We start from the raw sequence: 15,326 nt of genomic DNA, 5'->3' as shown, positions 1-15,326 counted from the left end.
TTATTTTAGTACTATCACTAAATTTTGACTTTTTTAAAACACAACCAAATTGGTAAATGTGTTTACATTTTCAATTATTTTACAGCTTATCTGATTCAGAATTCACCTAAGAGTCACATATTGTGATTTGTGGACATGTTTTCCAAAGAGAAAACATTCAAAATTTATTTTCCAACAGACAGACAGCATTAGCAGCACAGCTACAGGAGTTTCTCCAAAGATCATACATTCACAAGGCATTATTAGCTCAACAGTGAAAAAGCCACTGGTGTGGTCTCTGTAACAATACACACTTCACAGTATAAGCAGATACCATTATTGTGTTCACTTACAATTCCAGAAGGAAAGGCACAAATGGCAAAAAAATAAAAAGGCCTAAAATCAGGTGCAATAACCAAGAGGCAAAACATTAGCTAACAGTCTTGATCTACATTTCATTCAGGGCCTTCCACATAGAAGGGATAGACTTCTCCCAGAAGTTAGGGTTTTTCTTTCTCCTTTCTTGTTAAACCATTAGAGAGATGTTTCCTTTGCTCAATATTATTACATATACAAAAGGAGATTACAAATAAAGGAATCACAAAACACCTTGAACATCCAACTCTTTCCACCAATACACTGACTTTTAGGTTTAAGACAGAACCTGGGAATACTTCAGTAGTCTTAAAATAGGAAAATAGAGACTATGGCTAAAAAACAAATAAATAAATAAATAAGGGAGATAAATAAAAGCTTTCCTACCCAGGACTCACCTGTTCCAACTTCACAGCCTTCATAAAATCCTCAAGAAAAAATAATCTTCCTAAGTTGCACCAAATAAATTAAACAAAACAAAAAAATAGTGTGTGAACCTATGGCAGGAAACACACCCTTCCATGAGTTTCTTCTCAAGAATGAAAACCCGGTTTTTCAATAGGGTAGGCACCGACAAACTAAATTAAGTCACCTGAGATTCCCCATTCAGGTGTCCACCTCAGGTTCAGGAAGAAAAAGGCATTTGGGAAGTATGAGGAGGACATTGGCACTCTTGCGGTTCTGACTGAACTGCATTTGAATAAACAGCAACACACACAATGAATCCCTAAGCACTAACATAAGTCCATCTGAGGGCATCCTACTTAAGGTTCTAAGGTTGAAGCAATTTTATAATTGTACAACCTTAGTTTTTTGTTCTTTTAAAAGTATATTTTTAGAAAGAAAAAGAAAGATGTTAACAGGATTGGGGGAATATAAAACAGTTCCCTAAATAGATGACAGATCTTGTCCGTTTACCTGCATACGGTTACCAATACCCTTCACCCCAATTAGGCTAAGTAGTTGTCTCTTCCACTGTGGTTCAATAAGTTCCAATGATTCCACCTTGAAGTAGATAATGGTCTTAGAAAAAGTCACCATAGGTTTTACGAAAGTCCTATGTATATAGTTTGTCACAAGTAACAAGGCTACTTTGCAACACCTGCTGCTTAAAAAAAAAAATCCAGTGTATATTTGTTTTGGTATAATTTTTTATTCATTTTTTTCATTTTCATTTCAATTGTGCTTGAGGTGATGGTCACAACCTTCATAAACGTCATTTGCATACCAGTAAGAAAAAGAAGGCCGAGCGCGGGTGGCTCATACCTGTAACTCCAGCACTTTGGGAGGCCGAGGTGGGTGGATCACAAGGTCAGGAATTCGAGATCAGCCTGGCCAACATGATGAAACCCTGTCTCTACTAAAAATACAAAAATTAGCTGCATGCAGTGGCACATGCCTGTAGTCCCAGCTACTCAGGAGGCTGAAGCAGAAGAATTGCTTGAACCTGGGAGGTGGAGATTGCAGTGAGCTGAGATCACGCCACTGCACTCCAGCCTCCAGAGCAAGACTCCATCTCGAAAAAAATAAAAATAAAAAAGAAAGAAAACAGGAGGAGATGGGCCTTTACAAAAAAAAAAAAAAGCAGATTCTAGAGATTTAACTCTGTCTGCATTTATCCTTCCATGCAAGTTAAGCTAAGCTGGAAAAAAAAAAGAAAAAGAAAAAGAAAAGAAAAAAAAAGAAGACTGCAACCTTGTTTTCTTCCAGGAAGTAAAGGAACTGATGTTTGGGAATGCTGTCAATAGCACCTGGTTTTTCCACATCCGCAATGACACCTGATTGGGAGCCATCATCTTGGAGATGGTGGTGTTATTCATGATGGAGACAGCCTCCAAGGAAACCAGGAGGGTAGGAATACAGCTACACTGGATCAGAGAGAGCTCACTGGTTTTCACTGCCAGACCACAGTCAAGTGTGGGGGTATACTGATTCCTTACAACAGTGTCCACATTCACTAAAGGGGCTGGGATTTCCTTAGGAAACATTTCTGAGACTCTTTTTCCTTTTGTACCTAACAGAGACATGGTGTTCTCCAGGACCAGCTTCCTCCCATGGTGTGCTGAGTTATTGTTCACCCCATGTGTCATATAGTAGACCCTCAAGTTGCCTTTGGTGGTAAAAGCTGTCCCACAAATGTTGCATACAAAAGGCTTCTCTCCAGTGTGAGTCTGTCTGTGAATCTGAAAAGACTAGTGGACAGGAAGTTCTTCCCACACTGGGTGCAGCCGTGTTGCTTGACCTGTCAGTGTAGCTGGGCCTCTAACAAAGGGGTCATCCCTGGAGACAAGATTGAGGGTCCTACAAATATACCTGGAACTTCAAGTTTGACATAGGTTGGCTGGGCTCAGATAAACGTTGAAGGGAGCCTGCTCCAACCTTCCATCCCTGCATCTGTTCTCAAAGCTCTCTGATTTGCCCCCAGCATCAGGAGACATTGACTTGATGATTTGTGCCTCACTATTGGCCAGAGAGTACCTGGAAGGACCTAGTTTCCATGGTGTCTGGACTTTGGCTCTCACACTCCTAGTCTCATTTCAGTGAGGATGAGTGGTTGGTCAAGCCATTGCTCTCCACTGAACCATTTTTTGGCTGCTCTGGCACTGCAGGCCAAAAGGGATAGGACCCACTCCCCCTACCTGGGGCATCTAAGGAAGCCGTCATGGAAGGAGATACGGGGATCTTTGAGGAGCTGCTTGGGCCCTCCTGGGAGCTGACTTCTACATCGGTGCTTTTGGGGACATCATCATAGCAGATGGCACTTGTACTGCCATCCTCACTGACCATCATTGGATCAGGATCATAAGGTCACAGGGATCCTCTGGCAAGGGAATATTGGGAATCTGACTGCCCGTGTGCATCTGAATATGCTGTTGCAATATCACGGCATTGGTAACTCTGGCAGATGAGGCATGAATGCTGCCTCTTTATGGGTGTGTTGGTTCAGTGAACCCCAAGGTGAGTCTGCAAGTTGCCTTTGGTAGAAAAAGCTCAGCCACAAATCTTATACTGGAATAGTCTCTCCCTGGTGTGTGGGTGCATGTGCAGTAATACATTTTGAGATAGCTTAGGAATCAGTAGAAAATGAAGCCAGTGGCGGCATTGTGGATGTTCTCAAACAGCTACAGCAATTTTAGGGTCTCTGGTCCTGGCCGGGGGTCCCACTCACTTAGAAGCCACCAGTACTTGGTGAATTATTGTTTGTCCTTACCTCAAGGAGTGTAGGCCTGCCCTCACTTTCTGCAGAAGGACTGGGCTACAGGTAATTGGGCAACAGGCCATCCATGAGGTTCTTCGGGTTAGTCTCTGAAGAGAGATTCTGAGGTAGCCTTAGAGAGGAAGTTACAAGGACAAGTTTGCTGTTTAAAGAGAGGCTCGATTCATTGATGGGGGCAGGTACAGAGTGCATATGGGTTGCCATTGCCTGTTGCCATTTTTTCCTGGAACTCAGCAAACAACTGGGGGTTCACCTTCTCTTGGAGATGTTTGTGAAACTGTACCCTGAGGTTTCCCTTGGTGGTGAAGTGATGACTACAGACATAGCACACGAAGGGTCTCTCTCCAGTGTGGGAGCAGAGGTGGATCCATGAGAAGCTATCAGTCCCAAAAACCTTGCTAGAGCACTTACACTTGTGCTTGGAGATGTTCCATAGCCTTCCTTTCCCTTTCTTGGACGGGTCTAATGCCATAGTGGAGAAAGTACCCTGGAAGAGCACCAAGCCCAGAGCCTGAGGGAGCAAAGCACTCAGTATGGGACACATGATGTTTTCCCAAACAGGGAAAGGGAAGAGAGTACCCTTTTCCCATCTGGCTTCAGAACAAAAGGCATCAGTCCTGGGGCAGAGTGCTGAAGGTAGAAGGGATGTTGGTGTGCAGTATCTTGGCTTGTTTCAAGGCATCCAGAGACGGACCTTGGCTTCCAGCCTTCTGGCTAAGCAAAACCACAGCTGCAGAAACCTGCAGGGACATGTGGCTGCCCAAAGTCTTCAGGGTGTCAGCCCCTGCCCTGCCACAGTGGAGGATGTGGGAGGCCCACACGTTCATCTCAATGTAGATCTGCTTGGTGAGCTGGATCTGCTGTAGCTGCTGTTGCAGATACAAGATCTGCTCGAGGACCCATGGGATGCTGTGGGCACTGGGCACAGGCTGGCAGTGCACCTGCACTCCACAGATTCACTGCCACCTTGGTGCCCCAGAGAGCCTGCATGGGCACATTAGCGTTGGCTACTTTGCGTGTGGGTAAATAGCCTATGTCCTTAGGTGTGGGTGGCAGGGCCATCTCTGTCTGTAAGTGCACCACAGACTCCACACCCAGCTTCTCTTTCATGTCCCCTGAGCTGCCACTGTTCTCCTTGTGGCCATCTTTATTACTTGGACTGGGTGGCTGGTATGGCTCAGTCTGGCTCCAGAGAGCTGTCATGGCCTCTCACTGTCATTCCTGGAGAGGACAGGGGGATTTTCAGTGCAATTTTTCTTATGTTTCAAGAACTCAGAGACGCTAAAGAACTCTGCACAGTATTTCTCACAGGTGTCCATCTCCTCCTGATGAAGCCATTTTACCACATGGCTTTGTCCTCATTCGCTTCATCATCATTCCCTTGGTGATCCATTGGAGCACCCTGGGCCCCCACCACTGGCGCCATTCAGGCTGCATCTGCGAACTCTGGATTCAGTTGCTGCTCACCCTGGTCCTCCTCCAAGTTGGCATGCTGAGGTTTCGTCTGCTTGCACTTCTACATGGTGCAAGCATGGGGCACTGGGAAAGCCAAAGTTCTGGCGATATGTTTTTTAAAGGCTCTTCTAATCCATAGATCCCCTTACTCATTCTTTGTAGTTTATTGTGGGAAGAAAAAAAGACCCAGGGTGTTTGTCTTGCAGAGTTTTTCACACTATAGATTTTGCTTACTGTATATTTGTGATGGGTTTAATATGTTCTGCTGTCCTTTGTACTTACTATAAATTGGCGATTGGGTCTAGAGGGCAGTATTTTGTTTAATACAGTGAACAGAAAACAAAGCTATTTTTCACTAATGTGGGAAATCTGTTGGATTGAGTTACTATTTCAAGTCCACCTAGTTTTTCCCTCTGTTTGGAAATTCTGAAAGAGACTGGAGGTTGTGTAATAACGATGGTGGGAAACATCAAGAATTCCACTCTACTTCTGGGAGAGTACATATTTGACAATTTACTGTTCACTCCCAAGGGTGTCCAATTCTGATGGGGAAATTTCCTCTTTTCCAAAGAAAAGGAAACTTTAATTATGAAATCAGGTGGAAAGGCTCCTAATGCTACCATCTGGGGTTGGAACAGCACTGAGCTGTTGAACTTGTGTCTTATTGTGTCGTAGAAGATGGAAATGAGGGCAAACACACAAAGGATGTAGATGGTAAGCAGGTTGTACTAGGGGTCATGGAGAAGGCAACTACTACATGTAATAAAGAGGGATAAGAAGTAAGGTTCAGAGATTCTTTGTATCACACATAATATGTGCCTAATATATGCTTTCATTCTTTTAAAAAAAAATGCTTATGACAATGGATCATGTCCAGAAGTTATGTAAGCCAAGTGATTACATAACCCTGGACAGCTCATTAGCTTAACCAGCTCTCTCTGTGTGTGATATGCTTTATTTGAACTCAGTCAAACTTTAGCCCAGGGATACTGGAACAATTCTGCAGTGAAGACATCCATCGTATGCAAGATCATAGGCTCTGAGATGTGGGGTATGAGGGTGACTAATTTCAGGGAACACCTGAAGAGGTTCCCTGATAAGGATCATTAGGAAATAGCAGGGGCTGGAGCCTAATGGTCATTATCATTGACTTTATTCACAGAGGCTGGAATAAGCCTCAGCTGCCTTGCAGACTGTGATGGCTTCATCTCCCCAGCCCCTCATCCAGAAGCTTCCTGTATAAAAGCTCTTGTGCAATGGCCTGTCTACATCTAACAGCTTGTAGCCTGACTTTGACAGGACTCAGGAACAAACAACGCAGCTTCAATCTCTGGATAACCTTTCAGGACACCCACTCTGCTTAGGAGAAGAATGGGAGGGTTTACTGCATCATTTTTGTTTATCATCTGATGCCAAGGCCCAGTGCCTAGTGACACATTATCAGGCCTGTACCTTTTTAAACACTTGGACAACCACACTCATTTCATTCTACTCTAGGCACCTATGAGCATTTGCATTTGCTACTTAGCTCTAGAGAGAACTCTAATATTGAAGGAACCTTTCCCAGTTACAATGTTCTTAGTTCCTTTAGGAACAGATGAATTATATTAATTTTACAAGGGACAACCAGAATTACTAGAAAATCTGTCTCTCAACCTGCCTTAGAGCTTAACTGGAGGAGCTGTGTCCTCTGGAGTTTCAGCCAGCTAGTCCAAGTTCAGTGTGACCTCATGCTTGTCAAATAGGAATCTTCTAATTTTTCTCATTCTCTCATGCTGAGGAAAGAAAGTGTGTCTAATGCCTTGTGAAAGAAACAAAAACTTCGAATTCAAATAAACATATTTACTTTCGAATTAGTACCTGTTCTGTGCTTTCCTCCTTCTTTCTTCCTCCCTTCATCTCTTCTCTATCCCTCATTCTGCCTTCCTCCTGTCCCCTTCCTCCTTCTCCTCCTCATCCTTCTTTCTTTTCTCCTCTCCCTCCCTCTCGCCTTCTTCCTCTCCCTCTTCCTCTGCTGCCCGGCTACATAGAACAGTAGCTTCTGTGTATGGAAAGCAGATGACCTCCCAAGCCACTCTCCTCTCTGCCTGCTTCCTTTGGCTTCTTGTTATTACTGTTACATTATCATGCAACATGTGGAACAGTATGAATATGTCTATAACAACTAATTGTCCTTTCCCAAAAAAGAAGGGCAGCTAGTAAGTGTTAGGAACTCAAAAAGGCAGTGGACTATGTGCTCTTGTGAGGCTAGTAAAATTTTGGAAAATATTATTCAATAGCAACTGCCTAATTAAATCTCTACATTTTACAAATGAGAGAACATGTTCAGGGGAGTTATAACTTTCTTAAGGTCACATAGGTTGTTTGTGTAAAACTTTAGTTCCCTCTGCCTACCATTCTATAGTGGATATAGCCCCCTAGAACATGACCTCCATAAAGGCAGGAGCCATGTCTGTCTTATTAACTAATGTTTCTCCAATGCTTACTATAGCTACAAATGTCTCCTGAATTAAGAATAAACTATACTTAAGGTTCTCAAGCTGGGACACACCCATGATACATGAAATCATGGGGGGAAAACCAGGTATAGTTTCATGAAATGGTAATTCAGATTTGTTTGTCTTGCAGATTAGCTTGTCTTGTAACTAATAATTTAAATTTTTACTTTTAAATTAATTCATACTGTGAAATGAATGGTAAATTTGCATAAATTTTAAAAATAAAATACATATACATCAAAACCATTATGTGTCCAAACAGAACTTTTGACTTCTACCCCAGGGAGTGTAGTGTTTCCCAGCTCTTCCCATGTTTATAGGTAAGCTAGAAATCTGGTTTTTAATGTGATGTCTGTTTTCTTTTAATGTTAAAAACTCAGGTTTCTAAAAACTTGTGTGGAGCAAAAGAAATAAAAATCCTTGTTCCTGAGCACCTGTTGTAACATCCAAGGAGAAATATGTGTTTAGACAGGAAGTAGACACTGGACACACCATGTGGGTTCTGGTTGCCATGGCAGCTGTAATTCTGGCCCTAACCACTTCTCAGCTTCAAACTGGCCAGAACTCAAAGGGGAAAGGGTGAAAGCAAGATATTCAATCCGTTAGGACAAATTTCCACCTTAGACATCTCTCTTAGTAGGCAGCCTCTAAATGACAGCAAAATATTTAGATACTTTTAAAATATCATAATCATGTCACAAAAACAGAGGAGCCAGAGAAAGGAAATTTGAGAAACATTTCGCATCTATTCTGATATACAAGAGGTTGCTGGCATGATTATGGAAAGAAGTTTAAATTTAATTTTTTTACCTCATTGAGTACTGATACCATTCTTAAGAAAAATCGATGAAAGGCATTTCTATTACTCTTGGATTAAAGCATTCTACATAGTAATTAATGCATAAATGTATAAGTGATTCTAAAAACTTAACAGCTTATGAATGGAATCATCCATTTGGTCTGAAGATAATTGGATAGTTTCCCACCCTCAATAAAACCAACACAAGATTAATATATTTTGTTATTGCACTTTTTGTTGCATAATTCTATATGTGATATAAAAATATGTGCTATACATTCTGTCTTAATCTATTCTAAAGAATAGAAGATACACATGCTTCTAATAAATGTTATATCTAGACATTGTACATGAATTGAACTCAGGTTTCCTTGCCAAACCACCTGTGCTGACACAGACCCTCCTTGCTTCTTCCTGTCTGTGACAGAGTCTCTCCCCAGGAGCCCTGCCTCTTGTTGAGGTTTTTGTAGGGCTCCCACAGGCACCCATCTCACTGTGGCCTCACTCAGAGCACAGAAGTATACTGCTGAGTCCACGACTTGTGAGGCTGTGATGGTGAAGTTGAAGGAACTGGTGGATTTCTGGAAGTTCCAAGAATACCGACCACTTATTTCATTTTGCTCATCAAAAGAGTTCCGACGAATAAGGAAAACCAATTCTCCACTTGGTGGTTGCTTGTACCAGAATAAGTAATAAGTAGTATCACGGGTTTCATACACACAGTCCAAGGTCACATCCTCCTTCTCCACCACAGAAATTTCAGTCTGCGCTTGAGTTACCTTCTGAGCCATGCTGGATACTGTGAAAAAGAGGAAAAAATAGACTGATCCCTTATTTGTAACTCTGGGGATAAAATAGATTAAGTGGCTTCAGACCTAGTGCTCTGATTTCATTGCCCTTTACCCCTTCTTTCTAAGCCTCATTAGACTAAAAAGATCTGCCTCTCTCCACATCCTTCTGAACTAACAGGAGCCTAAGTCCTGTGCTAGTGGTCACGCTTACCAACACAGATGGAGGCTATGACTGCCCTCAACAGGCTGGCAGTCAGCATGTTCATAGCTCTTCCCCTGAGTGAAATGTTCCGTGCTCCGTCTCAAATCCAGATCTTAATTCTCCACCTTGCACTCAAGAGGTACTAGCAAAGTTACTGGGCTGTGTGAGGCTTCTGCCTTTTACAGGAAGTATAGTTAACAGATATATGATGAGTTTGACTGTGTCATGTCACATACTTCCTGTAGAGATGGAAGATGCTAGACTGTCCTAAGTACCAATTTTGTCTCAATATAACTTACTGGACTGTAAATATACAGTGGTAAAATTGAATCACGGTTAGTTAATTCATCTTTGGTGGAAAATGTGAGACTTACAATTTATTATGAGCTATAGTGAATACATGGGATGATACAGTTATGCACCTTTTGGTCTTACATATGTCTTTTTCTCCAGATAGAATCAAGGTACAAACTAACCATACGGAGTTTTCACTTTCTAGCAGGAAGGCAAAACTTTTAGTCTCAATCTTTGTTACTACTTTGCCAGTCGTGGTTTATTTCCTTCTCCTGCCTGATTGCCGTGGCCAGAACTTCCAACACTATGTTGAATAGGGGTGGTGAGAGAGGGTATCCCTGTCTTGTGCCAGTTTTCAAAGGGAATGCTTCTAGTTTTTGCCCATTCAGTATGATACTGGCTGTGGGTTTGTCATAGATAGCTCTTATTACGCAAGTCAAATTGTCCCTGTTTGCAGATGACATGATTGTACATCTAGAAAACCCCATCGTCTCAGCCCAAAATCTCCTTAAGCTGATAGGCAATTTCAGCAAAGTCTCAGGATACAAAATCAGTGTGCAAAAATCACAAGCATTCTTATACACCAATAACAGACAGAGAGCCAAATTGTGAGCGAACTCCCATTCACAACAGCTTCAAAGAGAATAAAATACCTAGGAACCCAACTTACAAGGGACGTGAAGGACCTCTTCAAGGAGAACTACAAACCACTGCTCAATGAAATCAAAGAGGATACAAACAAATGGAAGAACATTCCATGCTCATGGATAGGAAGAATCAATATTGTGAAAATGGCCATACTGCCCAAGGTAATTTATAGATTCAATGCCATCCCCATCAAGCTACCAATGACTTTCTTCACAGAATTGGAAAAAACTACTTTAAAGTTCATATGAAACCAAAAAAGAGCCTGCATTGCCAAGTCAATCCTAAGCCAAAAGAATAAAGCTGGAGGCATCATGGTACTTGACTTCAAACTATACTACAAGGCTACAGTAACCAAAACAGCATGGTACTGGTACCAAAACAGAGATATAGATCAATGGAACAGAACAGAGCCCTCAGAAATAATGCCACACATCTACAACTATCTGATCTTTGACAAACCTGACAAAAACAAGAAATGGGGAAAGGATTCCCTATTTAATAAATGGTGCTGGGAAAACTGGATAGCCATATGTAGAAAGCTGAAACTGGATCCCTTCCTTACACCTTATACGAAAATTAATTCCAGATGGATTAAAGACTTACATGTTAGACCTAAAACCATAAACTCCCTAGAAGAAAACCTAGGCAATACCATTCAGGACATAGGCATGGGCAAGGACTTCATGTCTAAAACACCAAAAGCAATGGCAACAAAAGACAAAATTGACAAATGAGATCTAATTAAACTAAAGAGCTTCTGCACAGCAAAAGAAACTACCATCAGAGTGAACAGGCAACCTACAGAATGGGAGAAAATTTTTGCAATCTACTCATCTGACAAAGGGCTAATATCCAGAATCTACAATGAACTCAAACAAATTTACAAGAAAAAAACAAAAAACCCCATCAAAAAGTGGGCAAAGTATATGAACAGACACTTCTCAAAACAAGACATTTATGCAGCCAAAAGACATGAAAAAATGCTCATCATCACTGGCCATCAGAGAAATGCAAATCAAAACCACAGTGAGATACCATCTCACACCAGTTAGAATGGCGATCATTAAAAAGTCAGGAAACAACAGGTGCTGGAGAGGATGCGGAGAAATAGGAACACTTTTACACTGTTGGTGGGACTGTAAACTAGTTCAACCATTGTGGAAGTCAGTGTGGCGATTCCTCAGGGATCTAGAACTAGAAATACCATTTGACCCAGCCATCCCATTACTGGGTATATACCCAAAGGATTATAAAACATGCTGCTATGAAGACATATGCACACATATGTTTATTGCGGCACTATTCACAATAGCAAACACTTGGAACCAACCCAAATGTCCAACAATGGTAGACTGGATTAAGAAAATGTGGCACATATACACCATGGAATACTATGCAGCCATAAAAAATGATGAGTTCATATCCTTTGCAGGGACATGGATGAAGCTAGAAACCATCATTCTCAGCAAACTATCACAAGGACAAAAAACCAAACACCGCATGTTCTAACTCATAGGCAGGAATTGAACAATGAGAACACATGGACACAGGAAGGGGAACATCACACACCAGGGCCTGTTGTGGGTGGGAGGAGGGGGGAGGGGTAGCATTAGGAGGTATACCTAATGTTAAGTGATGAGTTAATGGGTGCAGCACACCAACATGGCACATGTATACATATGTAACAAACCTGCACGTTGTGCACATGTACCGTAAAACTTAAACTATAATAAAAAAAGAAATAGTTTTATTGTTAATAAATGATTTCACAACATACCTCCTGAGTCACCAAATCTGTTCAGTGTTTGCCATGTCGAGTAACACCAGAGAAAAATACCTACATGTTTATTTGCACACATATTTTGTGTGTGTGTGTAAACAAAAATAAATTCCAGAAATTCTACTCACTGCTCAAAGACAGGAGTTTCTGTTATAACTCAATATGTGTGTTCTTGAAAATCCCCTTGCTATTCCAATCCATGCATATTAATTATGGTGGAGATTAGGATGGGAAACACCCAAAAATATATAATTTGTAACCAAAGCATTACCAAAAACAAGAGAAATCCTGTTAAAATACCAGCAGAGTTCAATCTCCACTGGCTTTTGTCCCCTGCATCACAGTCATTAAACTCTTTGCAGTCTTAAATGTTGGGACTTATGTTTCATCCCTCTAGATACAGGTTCATAAGAGGTCCTGTATTTACAATAAGACTGGGTACATCAAAATTTTGTGTTATTATTCCTCATAAATCAATATTTTTATTTGATTTATGGCTAGGGTAAGAAAAGAATGGGGGTGAGTGCTAGTAGGCACAGAGTTTCCTTATGAGGTGGTGAAAATGTTCTGGAATTAGATCACAATAATGATTGGATAACTGTGAATATACTAAAACCACTGAATTGTAGACTTAAAAGAATGAAGTTTAAGGTATGCAAATTATATCTCAATAAAGCTGTTATTTCTTTAAAGATAGAAGTGAAAATACTCATATTAATGATAGCTAAAGTGATTCTAGTGCTGCCGTGGGAAAGAGGACTTGGAGTTAGGGAACCTCCCAGTATCAGGACAAACTAAGACTATTATAATATTTCAGTCTTAAAGAAGATCATCTCTATGTAACCTCAAATGCAGATTTACTATGAAGTATATTCGGCTTTGATTTTAAGGCCCCTTTCTACCGCATAACCTAGAAACTTAAATTTATAATTTAATTTTCTTTTTCTTAAAGAGAGCCCCAGAAATCAAAGAAGCATCAGGCCCTGCAAAACCTGCATTTTTATGTGTAAAACTCACAGAATCATGCAGGAGAGACAAAGGACAAACAAGGCTCACAGAACTCCAGAATATTAGGAAAAGTTTCTCGTGGTGAGCTACATCCCATGTGTGAGGGGCCCACATTTCTGTTTTGTGCTCTTTGATGCAGAGAAATATGAGATTATTTTCTCCATTTGGGGTCCCAGCGAACAAGAGTCCATATTCATTCATCTCCCAAAGCGGCTCACACCCAGGCCCCACCTGCGTTCCCCAGGGTTTGTGCTGGGCTCTCGCTGCAGTCCCTCCCACTCTGTCTCTCAGAGCGCAGTAGTACACGGCAGAGTCCGACAGCTGCACCGAGGGCTTCTCCAGGTGGAAGGAACTGTCACTCTTGATAGGACTGGCCTGAAAACCTCTGCTGTCCGTCTCCTGGTTTTCTGAACTTTTCAGGAGGAGCTCAGGCTCTTTGTTTAGATACTGGACATACCAGAATAGAAAAGTTGAATAGCTGGACTGATAAGTGCAGTTTAATGTCAGAGCTGCCCTCTCAGGGAGGGTAACTGGGCCTTCTGTCTGGGTAACCGAGTCTCCACTGGTCCTTCCTAAAAAAGGGAAAGACTTTATTATAGTGGCAATAGAAGAGGCATGGTCTCCAGTTTGGAAGGGGTTAAAGGTCATCCTAAAGCTAAGGAATAGAACATCTCAGAAGTTTTGAGTAAACATTACTCACTGAATATCAACAAGATCACAAGTCCTGAGCAGGAAGCAGACAGCATGGCTGGCTGAGAAGCAGTAGAAGGTTTTGTTGAGAGATATCCAAACCGAAAGGTATATATATTTCTTTATGTTGTTGAGTCTTTGGCGGAATCTTCTACAAAATCTTGACTCACGTATTAAGCAGAGTAAACTGCCCTACAAGATCAGGCCACAGGCTGGAACAAAGAGACGTGCGAAGGAAGGAAAGATGAAATTTGTGTCAAACCACAAGCTGAAGGCAGCAGCGCCCTCTTGAGGCTCCTCTCTGTCCCTGACGCCTGCTCTGAGTCTCAGAATGATGTTCATTTTCACCCTGGGGTGCGGCTTAACCTGCAGACTCAGAAAGAAAACGGTGTCCGAGGTGAAGGGTGGGACTCAAGGAAGGAGCATCAAACACTCTGCTGACTTCATCGTGTGGGTGATTCCTGTCGCCTTCTTCAAGGCGCAGAGCAATATGATTCCCTTGAATCTCCCCATTCCCTGCATCTAATGTGTTCACAACAAGTGTTAATTTAGTTTTAGGCATCTCAGGATATCCTGAGAATATAAAAAAAAGAAAATGTGAGATTTTTTTCTCGACATATTTCCCACTGGTCCCCCAAAACCGGGGGGTGAGCACTTCTGCTTAGAATGCCCTTCCTTCTCCCCACTCCCTTTCACTTGGATGACTCCTGTTCATTCTTTGAAAACCAGTGCATCACCTCCATGTGAAAACATTCTGCCATCTCTCGAGCTGAGTTAGTGCTCTCCTTTTTCCCACCATATTTTCTGTCCTTATCACATCATATTAGAATCATTTCTGTCCTGTTTCTCAAGCTGCACTTAGTGCTCCTGCATCAGAAGTTGAATCCTATTACTATCAGCAGCCCTTTTCCTAGAACCTTAGCTCATAGGAAATGCTCAAAAAAAACCCCTAAAAATTGGTGGAAAAAATGAATGAATGGCTGTATCTGGTGGGCAAAATTATCTTTGATGAAGGACAGTCTGTGGGAAGATGTGTCTAGTGTCTTAGGCCCCTGGTGTGACTGGCTTCATTTAGGAGTAGATCCAGGGCCTGGTAGCAGGTGCATTCCGTGTTCTTCAAAATTGAGTAAGGTGCAGGTCTTCTTATAAGGAGCCACTCTCATACTAACCATTTTTTTTAATATTACGGTGTTTCATATACCCAACAATAAAATTGGGTATCAACTTTTTAGGCTCACAGGTTTTATACAATTACCAAATCAGACAAAAACTTCAAACAAAATATAAAATCGATAAAATTCAAATTAAAACATTAGTGTAAGAAATGATTTTTCACTGAAACTCAACGGTTAGTGTAGACTTATTAAAAGAAAGCTATGGATGTGTACAGTTGAATAACTGATTTGATTAAAGTTATTTGGAGCTTGATGTGCTATTGTCTGAGTTATTGTGATTAGTGATTACTAGGATTTTTTCTTCACTTTTCCTATTTAGAAATACTCATGTCAGTCACCATTATACAATTTTATTATTTAATGAAACACCCAAGAATTCAGCACTGAAAAAAATGTTTTTTATTTACTGCTACTT

General features: G+C 41.4%; 1 pseudogene, 2 gene segments (V, D, J or C) and 1 further gene, besides 8 other annotated features; all 4 read right to left on the bottom strand.

Annotated features, from left to right (window-relative positions):
- The window catches only part of TRA (T cell receptor alpha locus), a 930,229-nt gene that overhangs the window by 535,130 nt on the left and 379,773 nt on the right, over positions 1 to 15,326 (bottom strand).
- Positions 2,041 to 5,127, bottom strand: LOC100419912 (spalt like transcription factor 4 pseudogene; annotated as a pseudogene).
- Positions 8,783 to 8,791: a recombination feature (nonamer).
- Positions 8,792 to 8,814: a recombination feature (spacer).
- On the bottom strand, positions 8,822 to 9,374 carry TRAV19 (T cell receptor alpha variable 19). The segment is given in 2 exon segments: positions 8,822 to 9,122; positions 9,326 to 9,374. Coding segments are annotated over 2 exon segments (350 nt in total), but the record flags the coding sequence as incomplete, so codon positions are not given.
- Positions 9,112 to 9,122: a sequence feature (TRAV19 leader sequence).
- Positions 9,326 to 9,374: a sequence feature (TRAV19 leader sequence).
- Positions 13,291 to 13,299: a recombination feature (nonamer).
- Positions 13,300 to 13,322: a recombination feature (spacer).
- Positions 13,330 to 13,792, bottom strand: TRAV18 (T cell receptor alpha variable 18). The segment is given in 2 exon segments: positions 13,330 to 13,618; positions 13,747 to 13,792. Coding segments are annotated over 2 exon segments (335 nt in total), but the record flags the coding sequence as incomplete, so codon positions are not given.
- Positions 13,608 to 13,618: a sequence feature (TRAV18 leader sequence).
- Positions 13,747 to 13,792: a sequence feature (TRAV18 leader sequence).

This window comes from Homo sapiens, chromosome 14 (genome assembly GCF_000001405.40).
Source record: "Homo sapiens chromosome 14, GRCh38.p14 Primary Assembly".
Classification (NCBI taxonomy): Eukaryota; Metazoa; Chordata; class Mammalia; order Primates; family Hominidae; genus Homo; species Homo sapiens.
The sequence above is the reverse complement of the archived record's forward strand: the minus strand, read 5'-3'. Positions and strand labels throughout refer to the sequence as shown.